The 20038-nt window shown below is 43.4% G+C and overlaps 1 protein-coding gene and 1 long non-coding RNA gene across 8 annotated transcripts in view, besides 2 other annotated features; one reads left to right on the forward strand and one right to left on the reverse strand.

Moving 5' to 3' along the window:
• The window catches only part of UST (uronyl 2-sulfotransferase), a 329961-nt gene that overhangs the window by 199328 nt on the left and 110595 nt on the right, over positions 1 to 20038 (forward strand). For 6 of the 7 annotated variants that reach the window (XR_001743088.3, XR_007059195.1, NM_005715.3 and 3 more), the window contains exons 4-5: positions 7515 to 7594; positions 18053 to 18206. Coding sequence is in view for 5 of the 7 variants with exons in the window: in NM_005715.3 (NP_005706.1) it covers positions 7515 to 7594; positions 18053 to 18206 (234 nt within the window). In the remaining 2 variants the exon portion in view is untranslated. The other variant, XM_017010152.2, reaches the window with a different exon arrangement.
• On the reverse strand, positions 7902 to 18327 carry UST-AS1 (UST antisense RNA 1). The gene is made up of 3 exons (NR_038408.1): positions 18204 to 18327; positions 12621 to 12684; positions 7902 to 9796 (listed from the first exon to the last, which is right to left on the reverse strand). It is a non-coding gene; the product is annotated as a UST antisense RNA 1 (long non-coding RNA).
• Positions 17215 to 17791: an enhancer, noted in NCBI's record as "H3K4me1 hESC enhancer chr6:149284708-149285284 (GRCh37/hg19 assembly coordinates)". NCBI's record gives its function as "activates a minimal SCP1, AML or CMV promoter by ChIP-STARR-seq in naive H9 embryonic stem cells {active_cell/tissue: H9 hESC(naive)}" and the evidence as "EXISTENCE:reporter gene assay evidence [ECO:0000049][PMID:30033119]".
• Positions 17792 to 18368: an enhancer, noted in NCBI's record as "H3K27ac-H3K4me1 hESC enhancer chr6:149285285-149285861 (GRCh37/hg19 assembly coordinates)". NCBI's record gives its function as "activates a minimal SCP1, AML or CMV promoter by ChIP-STARR-seq in naive H9 embryonic stem cells {active_cell/tissue: H9 hESC(naive)}" and the evidence as "EXISTENCE:reporter gene assay evidence [ECO:0000049][PMID:30033119]".

Raw genomic sequence — 20038 nt, forward strand, 5'->3', positions numbered from 1 at the left:
AAAATTAGATGGGCGTGGTGGTGCACGCCTGTAATCCCAGCTACTCAGGAGGCTGAGGGAAGAGAATCACTTGAACCCAGGAGGCAGAGGTTGCAGTGAGCCGAAGTTGCACGACTGCACTCCAGCCTGGGCGACAGAGCAAGACTCCATCTCAAAAAAAAAAAAAAAAAAAGGCCGGGTGCGGTGGCTCATACCTGTAATCTCAGCACTTTGGGAGGCTGAGGCGGGCGGATCACGAGGTCAGGAGATCAAGACCATCCTGGCTAACATGGTGAAACCCTGTCTCTACTAAACAAAATACAAAAAATTAGCCGGGCGTGGTGGCGGGTGCCTGTAGTCCCAACTACTTGGGAGGCTGAGGCAGGATAATGGCCTGAACCTGGGAGGTGGAGCTTGCAGTGAGCCGAGATTGCGCCACTGCACTCTAGCCTGGGCGACAGAGCGAGACTCCATCCCAAAAAAAAAAAAAAAAAAAAAAAAAAAAAGGTGCACTCATTCATTTTTACAGCAGATTTCTCTGTTTTTTGTTCATTCACTTTGATGAATATTTATTGAGAACCTAGTATTAATGTGCGTATTAAACCCCAGACAGCCCACTAGATATTAGTGCACCCTATTTCTAATCCTCGAGGCAACATTGTTAGGAAAGCATTATTGCCCCATGTTAGAAGGAGGAATAAGTGTGTACAGGAATCTGATTAAAATATAGTGTAAATTAAGAATAATGTGGGAGAATAAGACTTGAAAGCAAACGGGGGTCAAATCCCGAACTTTAAATGCTGGGCTTCGGAGTTGGAACTTTCTTCTGTAGACAGTGGGAAGCTATTCCATTTATGCCTGAGGTAGCAATTTTTTTAAATTTTTGCAATCAGACCTTGGCAATGACCTTGAGCAGTAGGATGTAAATAACTCCCACATGCTTAGCGTTCCAATAATGGAACACTAGGCATACATGGGTTAATAAAAAATTGTTCTTAATCACGATAGGCACCAAAATCTGCTGGGGAGCGTTCTCACAATATGTGTATTCAGGTCCCACTGCAAAATACAGAGCTAAACTTGTAAAGGCAGAGCCAAAGTTATTTGTATTTTGCAGGGGAAAAACTCCCGAAGAGGTCCTCACGCACAGCCCTAGCAAGGAATGATTTCACAAAAGCCTCTGATTATTAGAAAGTTTTCCTTTTATTGAAGTGAATCCTTTACTACGCTAGGAAAATCCCGCTGTCACCTGAGACTCTCTCAAACCCCTGAAGACTCCATGCGTCCCTGAAGATTTATGAAGTGTTGTCTCCTCATGAGCCTCTCTCTTTATCCCAGGAACCTTTCTCTGGCTTGACATGTTTTGGAAAAGCCTCGCTTAGAATGACCGTCAGAACTTCCCGACTTTATAGGAGTGGGGACAGTGTCCACAGGCATGAGAGTGCTCCAACTGGACCTTAGAGTCAAACCAAAGAGAGGAGCCTGGTCCCTTTCCATGCCACAGGGATTAGTTCACACAGCCCTGCAGACGTCTAGTCTTGGAGCCCTACACACAGAAACTGAGTCCGCTAATAGAAACTTGGTGGAAAAAAAAAAAAGAAAAACAAGGAAGAAGCAGCAAGGCCTGCAAAAATAAAATAAGTTTTTCCTTTCCTTCCAGTTGCAGCCATGAGATTTTCTCTGTAATTGAGACCCAGGCTCTTTGCCTTGATCATGTCATTGCTCCCCCTGGTGGACTTCTTCTTCATTGCAGGCGTGTGTTGCGCTGACTGCTTCCCGCAGGCCATCCTGCCTCCTGCTTACAAGGGCTACCCCATACTGTGGGAAGAGGGAAGGGTCACCGGAGCCTCCAGCCATCTTCCCAGGCTCTGAGGTTCAAGGGCCAAGGCTCTTCCTGTGAGCTACTCCTTATTTTGCTTTGATATGTTAAAAACATGTCCTTTCTGTAAAATGCTTTGCAAAATTGTAAGACGTCTAGGTGTTCATGAGTGACACAGAATTCACTTATGAACCACGTAGGGTTAGATACCGCCTCTGCTGACAAATATTTGCCAAGAAGTCAGGAGCAAAGTCTGACTGTGTTGGTAGAACTGCAGGTAAAGGTTTTCTGCTGCACCATCCCAGCCAGTCAGGTTGAAAGCAAAAGATTAGGAATTACTTACTGATATGCTGTGATCTGATTTTTTTCTTTTAGGTATCTTTCATTACATAGTTATCTTTTTTAGTATTTAAAATTAATTTTCTGTTCTTGTTAGGATATATACTCAGTTTTCCCACCTAGAACTTTTAAAAAGTATTATCTCTGGCATTTTAAAGCTTTTATTTTTGTATTATTTCATAATGCTTTTCCATCTGTTAGAACTTTCTTTCAAATTTTCAGCACATCACAAGAAAAGAAGAAAATTTATATTCCATAAACCTTCTTTGTTCTCCAGACTTTTGTGCTAACCAATCTGTTCCTTCCATTTTGAAAGGTTATGTATAGATCAAATCTCGGTGGGAATGGTGAATAGATTGCAGCCAGTAAATAAAAAACAGGATTTAGGGTTTGGAAAGACTTGGATTTCAATCCTGGCTTTACCTCTTGTGTGGATAAGGCTTTAAGCAACCAATGCAGCCTTTTGTGCCTCAGTTTCTTAACCTCTACAGTAGGGATAATAATACTTATCCATGGCTGGGCACGGTGGCTCACACCTGTAATCCTAGCACTTTGGCAGGCCAAGGCGGGTGGATCACCTGAGGTCAGGAGTTCAAGACCAGCCTGACCAACATGGTGAAACCCTGTCTCTACTAAAAATACAAAAATTAGCTGGGCGTGGTGGCAGGCGCCTATAATCCCAGCTACTGGGGAGGCTGGGGCAGGAGAATCGCTTGAACCTGGGAGGGGGAGGTTGCAGTGAGCCAAGATTGCGCCACTGCACTCCAGCCTGGGCAGCAGAGTGAGACTTCGTCTCAAAATAATAATAATAATAATAATAATAATAATAATAATAATAATACTTATCCGTGGGTTTCTTGTCCACTGCACTCCAGCCTGGGCAGCAGAGACTTTGTCTCAAAATAATAATAATAATAATAATAATAATAATAATAATAATATTACTTATTCATGGGGTTCTTGTGAGGATTAAATGACACCATATGTATAAAGAGCACCTTGGTGCACTCAGAAAATGGGAGTCTGTTTGATGGTGTTATGTCCTGGATGTTATAATGGTAAGACTGTTTGCCCCATGTGACACCAGGATAATGAACATATGGGTCTGTCTCAGAAAGGCTAAATTCATAGCCTGAGTGCTAGATAATTCTGTCTTCAGTTAACTATACATTTCTTGACTCCAAAAAGGATTTCTAAAGATGATAGCTTCATTTCATAAATATTTGTGGGGTGTATGTTCTGTCCAAGTACCTTGAGTAGGCTTTCTAGGGGATAAAGCCTGCCCCCAACCCTCACAGAATTTACATTTCAGCTCAGACTCGTGCACAAACTCAACTACAATGTAATGTAGAAAGTGCATGTCCTGAAGAATTTTCAGATGCACTGCTATGGAAGGTCATGTTCAAAACCAAGCCCATTTCCCCCCTTATCTGCAGCCAAATCTTTTCCTCCCCCAGCATTGCCCATCTCCATGAATGGATACCATCACGTATTTGGTTGTCCTAGCCAGGAATCTGGGAAGGAAGCTCTCTTGGCCACTTGCCCTGCCTCCCTTCCATTGGCAGGTAGTCACCTCCTTAACCCTCCCGGAACCTCCCCTTCTGTCTTACTTACATTGACTTATTTCAGTGGTTCTCACACTTTTGTGCCTTAGCATCCCTTGGAAGGCTTGGCAAAACACAGACTGCTGGCACCCCTTCCCCCAGAGTTCCTTCTAATTCAGAAGGCCTGGGGCGGATCCTGAGAATTTGCATTTCTAACAAGTCTCGGGTGATGCTGATGCTGCAGGTCTGGGGACCACACTGAAAACCACGACCTCAGTTCATGCCATTGTCATTTGCTGTTGGGATTATTGCCCAGTCTTCCTGGCTGTGCTTCTGTATCTAATCCTTACCCTTCTTCACATTCTCCACCCTGTCCTCAGATCTGGAAAAAAGAATTTTTTCTGGCTGTTGATCACCCACAGAATAAATGTCAGAATTCCTGCTGTGATCTGCAGTGCCCTCCATTACCTGACTCTTACCTGATTCTCTAGTCTCACCTGCTACTTTGCTGATCCCATCTCGGATCACTGAACACCTCTGGCACACTGAACTCCTGCAGTTCCTTGGTGCCGTATCATTTTATGTTCTGCCTTTTGTATCTGCTCTTCATTATTTGCAATGCCATGAATCCCTTTCTTTCCTGGCTAACTCCTCTAGGCCCTTCCAGACTACTGAGGGAAACCTCCCTGGGGAAGCATTACCTCTCCATCTGAATGTAGAGAGAGGTGCTTCACTTATCTACCATCTACCTCATGGTGGTTATCACATGATTGTACCTGCCTCTTAGTCCACCTCACCCACAAGACTCTGACAGCTTCCTAACAGCAAGAACCAAATCCATCATCTCTATAGCCATAACCCTGAGCAACATTGCCTGATACAGAGGGGAGATCAAAGGATGTTGAATGAAAAGGGCTATCCAGAAAGGCTACTTGGAGGGGTAGATATTTTAGCCAGAGGTGAAGAGTGGTTAGTATTTAGACACACAAGGAGTAGCAGAAGAACATTCTGAAAGAGGGAACTTAAACTGGAGCTTGGACTTGGTCAGGCTTTAGTGTGAGGAAGGAACAAGGAGGGCTCTCATTTGGCTGGCCACAGCATGTGTGGTCCTGAGAGCCAGTTGAGGGAAATAGCACAGGTGGAATTCACATGGCTCAACACACCATTGAATTATGGGAGTCCGGGAAAGAGCTGGATCAAAGGTGGGAATATGCCGAGCACCAGTAACCTGAACCAGACTGTCCAGAGATGGATGAGGCTGGATAAAGAGTAAAGATGGGTGAGGATTAAGTGTGTTTGTGGCCATGGTGGAGTTTGAGGGCACCATTAGGACATATTCCACTGTCTTCTTCATGTGTCTTCCCACCCATCTTATTCGTGTTTTTATCTCCAGTGCCTAATAAGTACTCAATGAATGATGAGTGAATTTATGCCATGGAATCAGACTAAAGGCCAGGAGTGGTCCCGCATGAGCCAGGGAGAGGAGAGGTGGCTCGTTGGTGATTTTAGGTGGTGCCATTGTCACCCCCTGATGCCTCTCCTGCAAATAAGATTTAGGTGAAGGAACAGGCAGGCTGCTGGCCATGGGGGGAGGACCAGGCAAGAGACCTCAAGCAATGGCAGCAACGAGTTCAGAATATGACTGCTTGTCGCCAAAAACAAGGAAAGTCTTAGAATTTGTGAAGATCAAACCGGCTGAGAGCTGAAATGTACCCTCTGCCTTCACTGTGCTAATACAATAAACACGAGCATTAGTACCTTGATTCTATGTTTAAAGATAACGTCTAGAAAGAGTTATACATTGTCACTGCTAATCCATTTTTTTCCTCCTGAAATAGACAGCTTTATGACTATTATGACACTGTTCTCAAAATCTAACTACTACTATTCTTCCATTAAATTTAACACATTGACATGTGTTTAGAGAATATAATTTAATGTGGAATATGTGAAAGAAACGTTTTTCCTTCTGACCTGTTCTTCCAGTTTTCTTGTACAGTACTAGGGGGCTTTCTTGTATGACTCTTCTGTGTGCAGAGAAATATCTGAATAAAATAACCTAGAGATAAAAGTGTTAATGGTCTTTACATTAAACATACACACAGTCAAGAGTTATTTTTCCAAGCAGGCACCCTCAGAGATAAATTACCTATGGTTATGTCTCCAAACCAGTAATTCCATTAGTAAATGCATCAAAAATCAAAATGAACAACGTGACCACGCAGGAAGTTTTACTACCAAAAACAAGCACTTGCAGGTGGTGTGTCGAGGATAAACAGTAGATAAAGAGGCAGGATTCAATTTCCTTTTATACTGAGGTTTGAGGACAGACAGACCATTATTCACTCATACCTGCCACTGACTAACAGAAGCACAGGGTTTATGAACTGCGAGTCATTTACCTTTAAAATTCAATTTCATTCCTTCAATCGTTGTGAGCTTGAATATCTAATTACAAGGTTTATACACTGAGATCCTAGTGTAATAATCTATAAAGCGTGTACTAGTTGGAGTTAATTCATTGAACAAATATTTATCGAGCACTTATATATGTGTCAGCCCCTGTGTTAGACATGAAGGAACAAGGCAGACTTGGGCTTTCTGTCATGTTTGAGACAAACCTGGAGTTCCAGACTCTTATTTTATTGTTCTTGTTGCTACTGCGGTTCACATGTGAATGACTGGTTTTGTTTCCAGTTTTTCAACTTGAACTATTTCATAAAACATGAAATGTTGCACTTCTGACATTCATCCAAAGTAGCAAGCTGCAATGTGCTTTTAAAAAATTCCACAGTGTGTTCGTTTTGATGGGGCCAACCAGAAAAACTAGGGAAAGAGAAGTTCAGAAAGTTAGGGAGTCATAAGAATGCTTGGAATTTCTAACAGATTTTACTAAACATTTTCTGTATCATGACATGTTCCAGAAGGCCATAAAAGTTAGTTTATACGAATATAAACTACTTTTTGCCTTGCTGATAACTGCAAATAAATAATTCAGATGACCACCCACCAAAACACCAAGACATTTGGGGGTTTATGTGTTTCCTACAGAATATTTTCCTTATAAATTTCATGGTCAAGGAGCACAAGAATGAAGTAGTACCTCATTTTATTCCATTTTTAAATTCTGCAGCACCTGTTTCAATATTTTTGTATATCCCAATAATATCATTTACAGAATAAGATAATGACTAACCTCCTTCCTTGATTTGACTTTAAAGGAAGGGATAGAAGGCATTCTTTTATTTACATTTTAGTACAGCAACACACTGATTTCTCCAGTCAAAATTACTTAATCTGTCACGTTGCTTTCATGGTAACAATCAACTAAATGAGACACAGGACTATCAATTTGGATAGCACTGTTTTATTCGCTAAGGAGCCTTATGTAAAACTTGATAAATGTTGCACTTATACCGCTGGTCCACTGGGAATAAGTGGGAATAAAAAGAGTCGGATATTGGCCAGGCGCGGAGGCTCACGCTTGTAATCCCAGCACTTTGGGAGGCCGAGGCGGGCGGATCACGAGGTCAGAAGTTCGAGACCACGGTGAAACCCTGTCTCTACTAAAAAATACAAAAAATTAGCCGGGCGTGGTGGCGGGCGCCTGTAGTCCCAGCTACTCAGAGAGGCTGAGGCAGGAGAATGGCGTGAACCCGGGAGGCGGAGCTTGCAGTGAACCGAGATCGAGCTACTGCACTCCAGCCTGGGTGACAGAGCGAGACTCCATCTCAAAAAAAAAAAAAAAAAAAAGAGTGGGATACATAACCTTTAACTTAATATGGCTTGGTAAATTAGATCCTATATATGCTAATTTTTACTTTTTTTAATAGATGGAACTGATTAAAAATATAAGTACTGCCGAACAACCCTATTTATTCACTCGACATGTTCATTTCCTCAACTTCTCAAGGTAAGACATTTTCCAGTTTAATGGTTCTTTCATTTTCTTCTAATGAACAGTTACTTTAGAAATCTACCTTTATTTACAAGGCAGTGCAATTGCCCTTGAAAAGACATTTTTAATCCGTTTATTTTTGCTACGGAGGGATCAAAATTTGAAATATTTGAACAGAAACTTCATTTCTTCCTAGACTACTGTCTTAAATCTTATAAAAACTTGGAATTATTTTTAATGAGAAGCCATTTGACCTAATAGCTCTTTTTTAAAAAGGAATCAGATTTTGTATTGAAACAAATAAGAAGGCAGGAGATGGGTATTTTAGCATAAATATTTTATTGCACATTTTTGTACAATTTGAACCTGCACAGAACTCTAGAAATAATTTAGTGCTAGAGTAATGAGTATTTTCTAGGATCCAAAGTACCAGCCTCTGTCTGTCTTTTTAATACAATCGTGTGCCACATCACGACATTTTGGTCAATGACAGACCTCATATATACATTAATCCATAAGATTATAATATGGTATTTTTACCATATCTTTTCTATGTTTAGATACACAAATGATTATTATTGTGTCACAGTTGCCTCCAGTATTCAGTATAGTCACATGCTGTCCAGGTTTGTAGCCCAGAAGCAACAGGCTGTACTCTACAGCATAGTTACGCAGTAGGCCGTGCCATCGAGGTTTGTGTATGTACTCTATGATGCTTGCACAACCACGAAATCACCTAATGATGCATTTCTCAGAATGTACCCCTGACATTAAGCAATGCGTGACTGTAAACCATTTGATTTTCTAAGCCTCACGTGTTTGATGCTGGGGAGGTATTTAAAATTCTGGTTTTTGTTTCCAGCAGCTGTGGTCTTCTGATAACAATGCAAATCTTCAAATTCAGGTTTTTAGATTCCCTATTTGTTAAATTACTAGCTTCAGGTTCTGAGTGTTCTCTTCCCCAGTCTTTCATTAGCATAGGTTGATTGTCACTGTGCCTCACTCCTTTGCTGATGGCCCTCAGTGTTTTGCTCTCCCTGTGCTGGCTCAAGTCTGCATACACAGCTGCTATCTAATAGCTGACAGATCACTGGATCCAGAGGCAGATCTGCTGGAGACCAGCCTGGGAACCTCCGGGCCTCCCTTGTCAGCCCTCTGACGGGCACTTCTGTCATCTTAACATGGGGTTGACAGTTCCTTGCAGGTCCACACGAGAGCACCAAAGGACCCAGGGCAGCAGGCAACATCTGCTAGTTAGTGCTGACCCAGTGGCTCCTGCAGGCCAGGCACCAAGGGAGCTGGGTCTGGAGGAGCTGCTGCTCTGGTCCAGGGTGCCTGACAACCCACCTGGCTGGAAGAAGATTTCAGCCATCCAAGGACTTCCCTGCTATGCAGCAGGTCCTGTGCAAGTTAAGTGCAAAGAATGAGATTCAGTAAAGCAAGTTATTAAGCAGAGAAAAGGAGCTGCTGCCTTATCTTTAAAAGCAAGTGTTCCCTGAAGTTTCCTGGGCCTTCCTGATAACCAGAGTTCCTGGGATGGTAACAGGACTCCTGCAAATTTTCCACAGTAATCCAGGGCCAGGTGCTGGGCAGCTAGGACTGTGTTTTCAACCACATTTATAAAATGGCTTGTTACTGGATTATCCAGGGTGTGTGCCCTGCCTCTTAATTCCAGAAGGCCACATGCATATTATTAGACATGATTAGATAACAAGGCTTATTAGCTCTTTCAGGCATTGTATTTTATGACTTGCAAAGAGAAAAGCGCTGCTTCCCTGATCCTTGCTGTTCTAGCGCGTTTCCTTCTGAGTCACCCCTGACATCCTTAAACCTCATTCATGAACACTTCTTGCTTCATAGGTCAAATCTTTACAACCAAACAGATTGCAATGCAACAAATTTTAAATATTTATGTCTGAACAGTGTAAAACACAAATTAGAAGCCATGGCCAGTATCTTAATTGGGTTGGCAGATCACAGTATGGTGGCCATATTCTGTGATGGCCTCTACCAACAAACACGTGTACAGGAGTTTAGTCTTCATTTAATTCTGAAAGGAAAAAAAATGATAAATGCCTTTTAGAAGATACCATGTCTACAGAAAACAGTGCTGGCCTGGCCGTCAGGACCTCTGGTGTCAGAACTGGCCTCCCAACTGGTCATGATTCTCGGCAAGCTGTTCAACCTCTTGGGGGTCTCTGTTTTCTATTTTTCCATCTGTAAAACAAGGACAGTTCTCAGTCATCCCTACCATATAGGGATGCTCTGAACCTGTGAAGGAAAGGCCTTCTGAGAGAAGGATGCTGTATTGGTCCGTTTTCATGCTGCTGATATCCAAGACTGGGAAGAAAAATAGGTTTAATTGGACTTACAGTTCCACGTGGCTGGGGAGGCCTCAGAATCATGGCAGGAGTCGAAAGGCACTTCTTACATGGTGGCGGCAAGAGAAATGAGGAAGATGCAAAAGCGGAAATCCCTGATAAAACCATCATATCTTGTGAGACTTATTCGCTACCACGAGAACAGTATGGGGGAAACCACCCCATGATTCAAATTATCTCCCATCAGGTCCCTCCCACAATACATGGGAATTACAGATGTACAATTCAAGATAAGATTTGGGTGGGGACACGGAGCCAAAACATATCAGATGCTGTATACATTCAGAGTGGCAGTTAAAAAGGCAATTCTGTAGACGTCTCAGGCTGAGCCCACTGCCCAGCTCCTGACTCGGTTTCTATGGAAACACCTTGAGGACAGGGCTGGGCTCTGCTTCTCCTCCCTCAGTTCTATTTTACTCAATTAAACACATGTCTATGGATTACCTTCTCTCTTCTATACACTACATGAGAACTGGGACTTCTGCAGTCAACATTAAATGTTTTCCTTGCCTTTGGGAGACTCTAAGTTCTTCTTCCATTAAAGTGTAACAGATGTAAGGAGAGGGTGGTCACAGGGCTTCCCCTAGCGGAGGTGGGAAGCAGGAACTTCCCTGTGGGATGAGGACTCTGGGAAGGTGTTTCTTCGGGGAGGTGAGGGATGGGTCAGCTTTAGACAAGTGAAGGGGGAGAGCATTCCCAGCACAGCGACCAGCAGAAGAGCAGGGCCAAGAGGAACTGAAAGGGATGCAGTGCAACCCAGGATGGACATGACTGGACTGGAACAGCAGTCAAGAGTTTTAAGCAGAAATAACAAGAGACTGCCTGACCAGCTTTGCTGCTTTCAATAAAAAGCCAGAACTGACTCCCCAGGAGCAACCTCTTCCTCTCTTCACACCCACATACCAGGGCCTGGGCCCTTAGCTACCAGCCTTCCATAAAAATGAAGAGAATGATCAGTTGAACTTTAATATATGACAAGATTATGATTGTTCCACTCATAGAACATGGGACATTAAAAAATCAGCTTTTCATTGTTTAAGGGAGTAGCTTTATCTAAGGAAAATTTCTCTGTCAATATGCAATTGACAGAGAAAAACAACTAAGCTGGAACTTCTTAAGAGGCCTTTGACATTACTTTTTTTTGAGATGGAGTCTTACTCTGTCGCCCAGGCTGGAGTGCAGCGGTGCAATCTCAGCTCACTGTAACCTCAGTTCAAGCGATTCTCCTGCCTCAGCCTCCCGAGTAGCTGGAATTACAGGCATGCACCACCACACCTGGCTAATTTTTCTATTTTTAGTGGAGACAGGGTTTCACCATGTTGGCCAGGCTGGCCTCAAAACTCATGGCCTCAAGTGATTTGCCCACCTCAGCCTCCCAAGTGCTGGGATTACAGGCGTGAGCCACCATGCAAAGCCAAGGACATTAACATACTTTAAAAAATAACTTTTAGATGTATTTTGACTGATAAGTTATAAAGATAATGAAGCTGATCTTAAGAAACCTACCCTTATAGCTGCTGACAGACCTATTGCTTGTTTCAGGATAATGAGGTTCCCATGAGAAGAACTGACACTGCAACCTAATATTATTGTTGATATTTCCAATCCTCCACACATCGTTAACATGCCGCACGGTACTTGCTGGCAAGCAGACTGTAAGGATGAAAGTCAGGCCTCCCTCCCCACACTTTTTTTGCACACAAATGGTCAGAACTTTTGAAGGGTAAGGCATTATACCATAGCTAATTGCCCTTTCTTTTTTTATTCCATTAAAGATGGCATTTTTACCTTGAAATTTAGACAGTCTTGAGTCATGTACAATGCGATCCCGTGAGCACTTGGTGTTTCTCTAGCTGACCTACTTCGTTTTTTTTCACCTTCTAGGCTTCTTGTCCTGTTTCTTCTTTTTCCTTTTTTAGAGTTAGAAGGAACCATATCTAGTTTTATTAATCCAGAGATGGGAAGTAATTGGTTCAGACCATCAGGTGTTTTGCCTCAGGGAAGGTTTCCTGCCCGGGGACTTATGCACAGCGAGCTCTCAGCAGAGATCTCAGGCTTCAGTGGGGATTCCTGACTTGCACACTGGGTTGCTGTTGCACACAGTTGTGGAACTCCCTAGAAATTCAAGCCAGGCAAATGTTTTTCACCTGGACTATCTGGAGAATTGAGTTAAAACTACCTTGGCCTAAAAGGTGCTTCTCTTTGTTAGGATGTTTAAGTAGGATTTTTAATATTTGCATACTATGGTTTCAGGTATCTTTTTTCAGTTTTCAGAGTTAACTTTAAGAAGCAGTTTCTGAAAAAGATCAACTTTCCAACATCAACAGCATCCCTCCAAATCTATCTTAGATCCACACACTAGAAAGCCTTGCAACAGACTACAATTCAAATTTGTCTGTCCCCTGCCCCCAATTTTGTTTGTTTTCTAAGCTTGTATTTTTTGGGGGGCGTATAAATATTTTTGCAATCTACAATGCCCCTCACCCTTCCAAATGTGCTTTTGCAGGGAAACCCTTAAGAAGCTTTGCCTCAGAACCCGATGCTGTCAAAATAGTCCAAATGCATTATGAGAGACACCAATATGCTAAATAATTTCAAACCACCACTTCCCTTATCCTTTTTTCACATCATTCTTCCTTTCTCTGCCATGACCCCCTCACCTTCCTTTGCTTCCATTTCTGTCTTCTCCTGTATCTCAGATGGTGGTTCCGGTGCCAATAGTAACTTGCAAAAACAAACAAACAGTGTGAAAATTAGTCAATCACCAGAAAAGCAGTGGGGTGTGATGTGCAAGGGGGTGCATTTTGGACACCTTTTCTCTTCCCTACAAGTGAAGTCTCAATTACTGATGTGAACAGTGTTTCTTCTATCAACTTTTGTGAACAAACTCTGCCCTCTGATGGCATTATTTAACAAAACAAATCAGACTTCGCTAATTCCACAAGTCAATTTGGTTTTCACATCTTATTTGTAAATGTTGACTTTTTTATTCTTCTTAGCCAAGTGACCAATTCAATTCTGTGCCCTTCAAATCTCTTATCTTTTGACAGACACTGCAAACTCTGAAGAAAGCACCAAAGTAAAAATCGGTATTAGCAGTTAACACCGTCTCTGCCTCCTTAAATACAGCGCAGAAGTTCCATTTACAAGTGCGAGTTTTCTCTGGGTTTTGCCTTTGTGAACCCTGGCTGGACTCGTCTTCCTAAATTGGCACTTTCTTCCTCATGTTTCTGCTTTTCCCTCTATGGGGAGTGGATCTCTGCCGCTGCATGGGCCACCAGCTGTGTTGGCCCATCAGGGATGAGTATAATCTGGACTTTCCCTCATTTCCTGATTATTCCTTACTGTTTATTTCATGCCTTGTCAATTCATCTTCCTCTGTGAGTGGGAGCCCTGACCCAAATACCCACCTCCTTCCCCATTTGTCTCAGCTTCTCACAGCAAATGTTTCCATCTCTCCTGCCTTGGGACAGACCGGAGAGCAGAGCACAGCTGTCTCTTCTGCTTGTGTTTTGTGATGGATGGTGGGCGGAGGGGAGTCTAGTCCTGGGCAGAGGAGATGGAAGTGCCCACTGCAGGGGGTGTGAGGACAGAAGCCAGACCTCCCCACCATGCTGGCCCCCACTGGACCTTCAGGGACTCTTGTTACTGTGACGGGCTCCAGCAAAGGGCCCTTTAACAGCCAGCTTGGCTGGGCGCAGTGACTGACACCTGTAATCCCAGCACTTTGGGAGGCCGAGGCAGGCGGATCACTTGAGGTCAGGAGTTCGAGACCAGCCTGGCCAACACGGCGAAACCCCATCTCTACTAAAAATACAAAAATTAGATGGGCATGGTGATGGGCGCCTGTAATCCCAACTACTTGGGAGACTGTGGCAGGAGAATCGCTTGAACCCAGGAGGCAGATGTTGCAGTAAGCCGAGATCACGCCATTGCACTCCAGCCTGGGCAACAAGAGCGAAACTCCGTCTCAAAAATAAACAGCCAGCTCTACCCCTCTCCGCCTCAGCCACTCCTCACTCTGCCCCCAAAAGGTCCTGTTCTTTTCCATGATGGCCTTTCTCTCACTTCAAACTGTCTTCCTCCCTCACTGATCAAGGGTCAAAGCCCTGGGCCTCTGGCCTATGGTACTTTTCACCCTTTAATGTAGATAGTGGCACAAAGATAACCTCTGCTTCCAGGCCAGAGGCTAAAAAGGAGGTAGGCTTTTGGCAGAATGGTGGTTACCAGGGGTGGGGAAAGCAGGAAAAGGGATTTTTTTGTTGAATGGGCAGAGTTTCCATTTGTGAACGTGAAAACGTTTTGGAGACGGGTGATAATGATGACTTCACAACAATGTGAATGTTTTGATACCACTGAATTGTACACTTGAAAATGATGAAAAGGGCAAATATATACATTTTACTAGAATTTCTTAGAAGAACAGGATATACTTTCAAAAACTGATTCCAATCACAGTAATCTCTACTATAATTGGAGTACAAAACAGTCTTAATTCTCCGGGATAATTCTGGTCTTAAGTATTGATTTAATATGTGCAATAATTATTACCTCAGGAAGAATGCCTTTCAAATTTTGATGAAAATATACCTAAGATTTTTACCCTAGTGCTTTGTGTAGCTGTGGAAGAGGTGACTAATATTATCGATGGGTTGATTAATTGATTGAGGTAGCAGTGTGGGACCAATGCTGATGAAAATGCTCAGAATGAGGTGTTCGGAAATGCCTCTCAGAGTGAGAAACATGCAGTTATGCTTTCTAGAAAATTATTCCCTGCTGCAGAGCTTCATCTTCTCATCAAAAAAAATGAGTAAAAATTTAAAAAATACGACACAGTGGCAGAGTCCAAAGGAAGCCCAGAGGAGTGCTTACAGAGTCGGGGAATAGGATCTGTCAACAAATGTCGAAGAAATTGGTAATGCCTGCTATTTTAGGATGACTTAAAAGAGAGCTTCAAAGATGCAGGAGTAATTGTGGTGACTGAAGGACAAAAGGGTATGTTGTTGAACAAAAAACAAAATATGGCCTGACTCTTCTACTCTCTAGTGTATGCACTACTTAGAACCTGTGATCAGCCGTAGTCACCACAATTTTTTAGCGCTCCATAAAGATCAAATTAGAGCTTTAGATTATAAAATGAAGGGAAATAAGTCTTAAGATAAAAGCCAAAGGAATGTTTGAAAGAAACAACAAAAAGTTAAAAGAATTAAAATTGAAGTTGAAAAGGCTAAGCATTGTAAAAGCATAGGAGATGCAAATCCTTTGTGTCAAATGGTTCAAACAAAAGGAAATGTGCATAAAAGGAAAATGTTAAATATTGGCTGAGTATAAGAAAGACTTTTCAACTGATACAGTGGACTTCACAGGGAGGTTGTGGAATCTTCTCTCAAGGCTTTTAAAAATCACTGTATGGGATGGTAGGGTACAAACCATTCTCAGCCCCAAAATGAAATCATGAGTGAGCAAAAGGTTCAGGTGACCCAGGGACTTTATAAATAGTAGCCAGAAATTCTGACCAGAGTTTTAAATTACTTAGAGGAGAAACTGATGCTGAAAGAAGATGGAATGAGGGTAGGGAAATTGCTTCCCTACTCAGGCACTAGGACATGTGCTATGCTCTGGTCCCTGATGGTAGCATGGTGGTATTCTGGCCTCTTCTGTATAACGGACGTGTCACCCCAGATTTTCCCAATTTGGCGGAAGCTGTGTGTACAGAGGGTTGGCAGCCGGCAACCATTATTGCCTTCTGCAAAGGGGAAGATATATACAAGACACCTGTTTGTCATAGTTAGAAACTTCTAGAGAGAGCCTACTATATTATCTGATACTTGACAATACATTCTTAAGCCATCTAAAACTTCCATTTTGGAAAATTATTCTGGAAGTCTTGCATTGGATTGCAACGTGCAAACAAGAGCAAGTCATCCATGCTCATCAAGACTTCCCAGTCCTTACTTCTCTCGCCATTGATCAAAGATGGCAGTGGTGAGGCTGAGAGCCATCTCCTGATGGGATGCTGTGCATGGATTCACATGATTGGGCATTTCTGCTAACTAGCACTAGCAGTCATTCTTCACATGAACATAAAAGAACAGTTGAGGTTTTTAAAAGCATGAAGCAATTTTGAGGGTCTAATTAGGTGCATATTTGGTATGCAAGCCTTGTCTTCCTAGTCCCTAGCTTTATTACTTTAGTTGCTGTTTATCATAGATATGAAACCCAATTTAATTTTAAAAGGGGGATAAATCTGGGGTGTGTACAGTAGTTAGCTGGTGGTTGGCACAGCTAACTCCTGGGACTCCAGTTAGTTGTTCATCCAGTTACATGAATGTGTATTTCTGAGAACTAACAAGATTCGCATTGCAAGGCTAATCTCACCCATGAGCAGTGTGTGTTCCAATGTGGTAGTATTTAAGGGCTCCAGGGTGTCATTCATATGTCCTGGTGCCTGAAATTCCACTATCTCAGAGTTGTTCCTTTGGATTCTTCTCTCTGAAGATTCTTTTTAAAAATGCAGATAAACCAGGAACAACATTATATGAATTCATACACAGAAAAGGATGGGGGCTTGTTATTACTTTCCTCTGACAACAGAGCCCCATGATATGGGAAGAAACGTTAACAACTGAGAGGCACACACTCAGATGTTCATTTCTTCATTTGGTCATCATTTGTTGAGCACCTACTGTGTGCCACACACTGAGCTAGAGCGTGTCGTTCCTGGCTGCAGGAGGCCCACAGTCTGATGGGAGAGGCACACATTTCCACACAGTGCAAGAGAGAGGGCCCAGGGCACAGAGGAGGGAGGCATGGACCCTGGGTTGGGCATTAATTGCTGAGGGATGTGATGTGACTCCAGGCTGGGTTTTGAAAGGTGAATGGAGTCTGCCAGCTGGGGAGAGGCAGGAGCGGGGTCCTGTCAGTTTGTTTTCTCTTAGTTCTTTCTGACCCCTGACAGAATGTCCAGGCACATTCCTCAGAAGGTCACGAGGCCATAGGGCTAGAGAACCCTGCAGGCCCCTCAGGAGGTCACCAGAGCATGCCCTCTGCCCAGAGACTGGGGCACTCTCCCCGAACTCCTCAAGGCTACTGCTTTCAAGCAGTTCAAAGAGAAAAAGAAGGAATCATTAAGAGAAATCCAGCCAATCTCATCACTCTGCTTCGGGAAGACCTTGTTCTTGGGCCAAGATTTAGTGGATTCATCTAATCCTTTCATGGAAGGAATTAAAATGGAACACCTGGCTATTTGCTTTATTTTTATCTGAAGCCACTTGCCATCACTTGAGGATAATTATGTTGAATTTTGTTTCATTCTTGATATCCCACACAAAATTTCCTCAACTCCAGAAATCACTTTTCCATAATTAAGAGCATAGATTCTAGAGCCAGATTGCCTGGACCCATATCCTAGTTCAGCTACAAGTTATGAACCTTATTCCTGCCTCAGTTTCCCCAAGTGTAAATGAGGATAATTATTTTTTCTACTCCATTGACGTGTTATGGGGCTTCAGCAAGCTGGTTACATGAGGTATTTAGAACAAGGTGAATAGCGAGTGCTCAGTGAAGACTGGCTGTTATTCACTCCCTTACTGCAGAGCACCTGACCCGGAACTGTTTGAATTACAATATAGAGGAAGTGCCGTCTCACCCAGCAAGGCAGTCAGAACCTACCAATCAACTGAAACATTCACCGAGGGCCAATTGTGTCCCTGTGGGTTCTGTTCTAGCCATTGGAAATACTAAATCCAATACAGAGTGGCCCCCATCCTCAAGAAACCTACAGCCTGGTGAGAAAACTAGACACCATCTCTTCCTTAACATGCACAATGGTGTGGTTTGTACCGTGCTATACTATGAAATGTCCTCACAGCCCCTCAACAGGTACCTGGAACAGGTATCATCCTCCCCACTTCCTGCATGATAATAAAATGCTTATCAGGAAACACCGTTTGCTTATTACGTGTCATTGGCACCTTAGCATAGGAGGTCATCTTTCAATAAGTTAACCTAGAGGGAAGGGGAGATGTTGTCTAAGTAGGCCCTGTTTTCGTCCTGCAGTGATGGGTTGTAACGAACTCAATGTTTGTGTTAGGTTTGGAGGAGACCAGCCTGTCTACATCAACATCATTAGAGACCCCGTCAACCGGTTCTTATCCAACTATTTTTTCCGTCGCTTTGGAGACTGGAGAGGGGAACAAAATCACATGATCCGCACCCCCAGCATGAGGCAGGAGGAGCGCTACCTGGTAAGTCCTGTCGCATGCAAAAGGCGGTCTCCCCACTGCCTGAGGAGTGGGCCCTCCACCAGGGAAGGTTCACTCTTCCCTTCCCAGGCCTTCTCCTTGGCGCCTCCATGGAGCGTGGCGCAGAGAGGGTGCTTCCGCAGGAAGGAGGTCTTGGCGAGAGAAACTGGTTCCGGGTGACCCAGATCCTAATGAACATTTCCTCAAATTATTTTCTGATTTTGCTTTGCTCAGTTGTCTTTAGTGCTAGGTTTTGGGACCCAGAGCGTTAACAGTCTTTCCTAAGGAGTCCTGACTAGCACTGTAGTGCTTAAGAAGAACAAAGGTGTTGGGGGGGTGTCTGTTAGAGGGCGGCAGAGCCCCTTCTCATCCCTCAGCCCATTCAGTTCCCATGACCACTCTGGGAGGGGGAGGTGTTTTCAGATGAGGACCCTGAGATTCTAAAGGTTGTGGGATTTGCCACAGTCACCTCTCAGGTAAGGGCGCAACTGCGACCGACTGTTTCGGGTTTCCTGCCTTCACAGTCTGGGTTCTTTCCACCACAGCGCGATAGAACCCTGTCATTGCACCAGTAATTGTTTGCTTTCTCTGGACTTGTTTTGGGACCCTCAGCTCCATAAGGGATGTTAGTCTCGAGCCCAGTAATTATTTCCGCAGCACAGAGGTTGGTAACAAAAACGGAGGGCGGAGTTGCGCGTCTTTCTTTCAGCACTAGAACGAAAGGTACATTTCCCATCCCTGTGTTGAGAAACATGTACTGAGGAGCTGACAGCCTGGTGCCCAGGAGGCTGAAATCCTGGTCTCTGTGTCTGAGAGAGCCCTTGGGGTTCACCCGGACCCATCCTGGGCTGTTGTCGGGCACAAGCAGGAAAGTAGGAAGTGTTGAGGATCAGTCAGAGGTGTTGTTCCCAAAGCTGGAAGATCGCCCAGAGCTGAGGCCACTGCTGATGTGCCGTCAGCAGCAGCCTTGCCGCTGGAGAAAAGCACCGAATCTCAGGGCCACGGCCAGGACGGCTGCTTCCTCATCTCATTTTAAAAACATAATGGAAGTGGATGTTCAGAGGCTGGGAGCATTTGGGGATGATGTCCCCTCAGTGTCACGTTCATGTTTTCAAATCCATGATTAGAGTAGAGAAAACTGAGATACAGAGAAGTTAGTGTCTCAGCCAGGGCCAGACGACTACACCAGACCCACGGCTTTCCACTCACCTTCGGTATTTGATCAACTACCTAAGGCTTCAGTGAAATATTTTGATGATTTTATTTTTATTTTTATTTTCTTCCTTTGATGATATATTTTAAAAGTGGCTTTTCCCTTTTTTTTTTTTTTTTTTTTTAGTTTTTATGGCGAAACCCTAATCTATTTCTTTATAGGTTATGAGGCCGGGCGCAGTGGCTCACGCCTGTAATCCCAGCACTTTGGGAGGCCGAGGCAGGTGCATCACTTGAGGCCAGGAGATCGAGACCAGCCTGGCCAACATGGTGAAAACCTGTCTTTATTAAAAATACAAAAATTAGCCGAGCATGGTGGCGCATGCCTGTGATCCCAGCGAATTGGGAGGCTGAGGCAGGAGAATCCTTTGAATCCGGGAGGCAGAGGTTGCAGTGAGCCAAGATCGTGCTACTGCACTCCAGCCTAGGTGCCAGACCGAGACTCCATCTCAAAAAATAATAATAATAATAATTAAATAAAATAAAAAACTATAGGTTATGAATATGACTATATGTTTTTTATTTGGTGAGACGTGTATTCAGAGTATAGAAACACTACAAGAATAATGTCTTCTCTAATTATCTTTATTATTTGTTTTGGATCTTGATTAATATATCTATAT

The sequence above is a fragment of the Homo sapiens genome, chromosome 6 (genome assembly GCF_000001405.40).
Source record: "Homo sapiens chromosome 6, GRCh38.p14 Primary Assembly".
Taxonomy (NCBI): domain Eukaryota; kingdom Metazoa; phylum Chordata; class Mammalia; order Primates; family Hominidae; genus Homo; species Homo sapiens.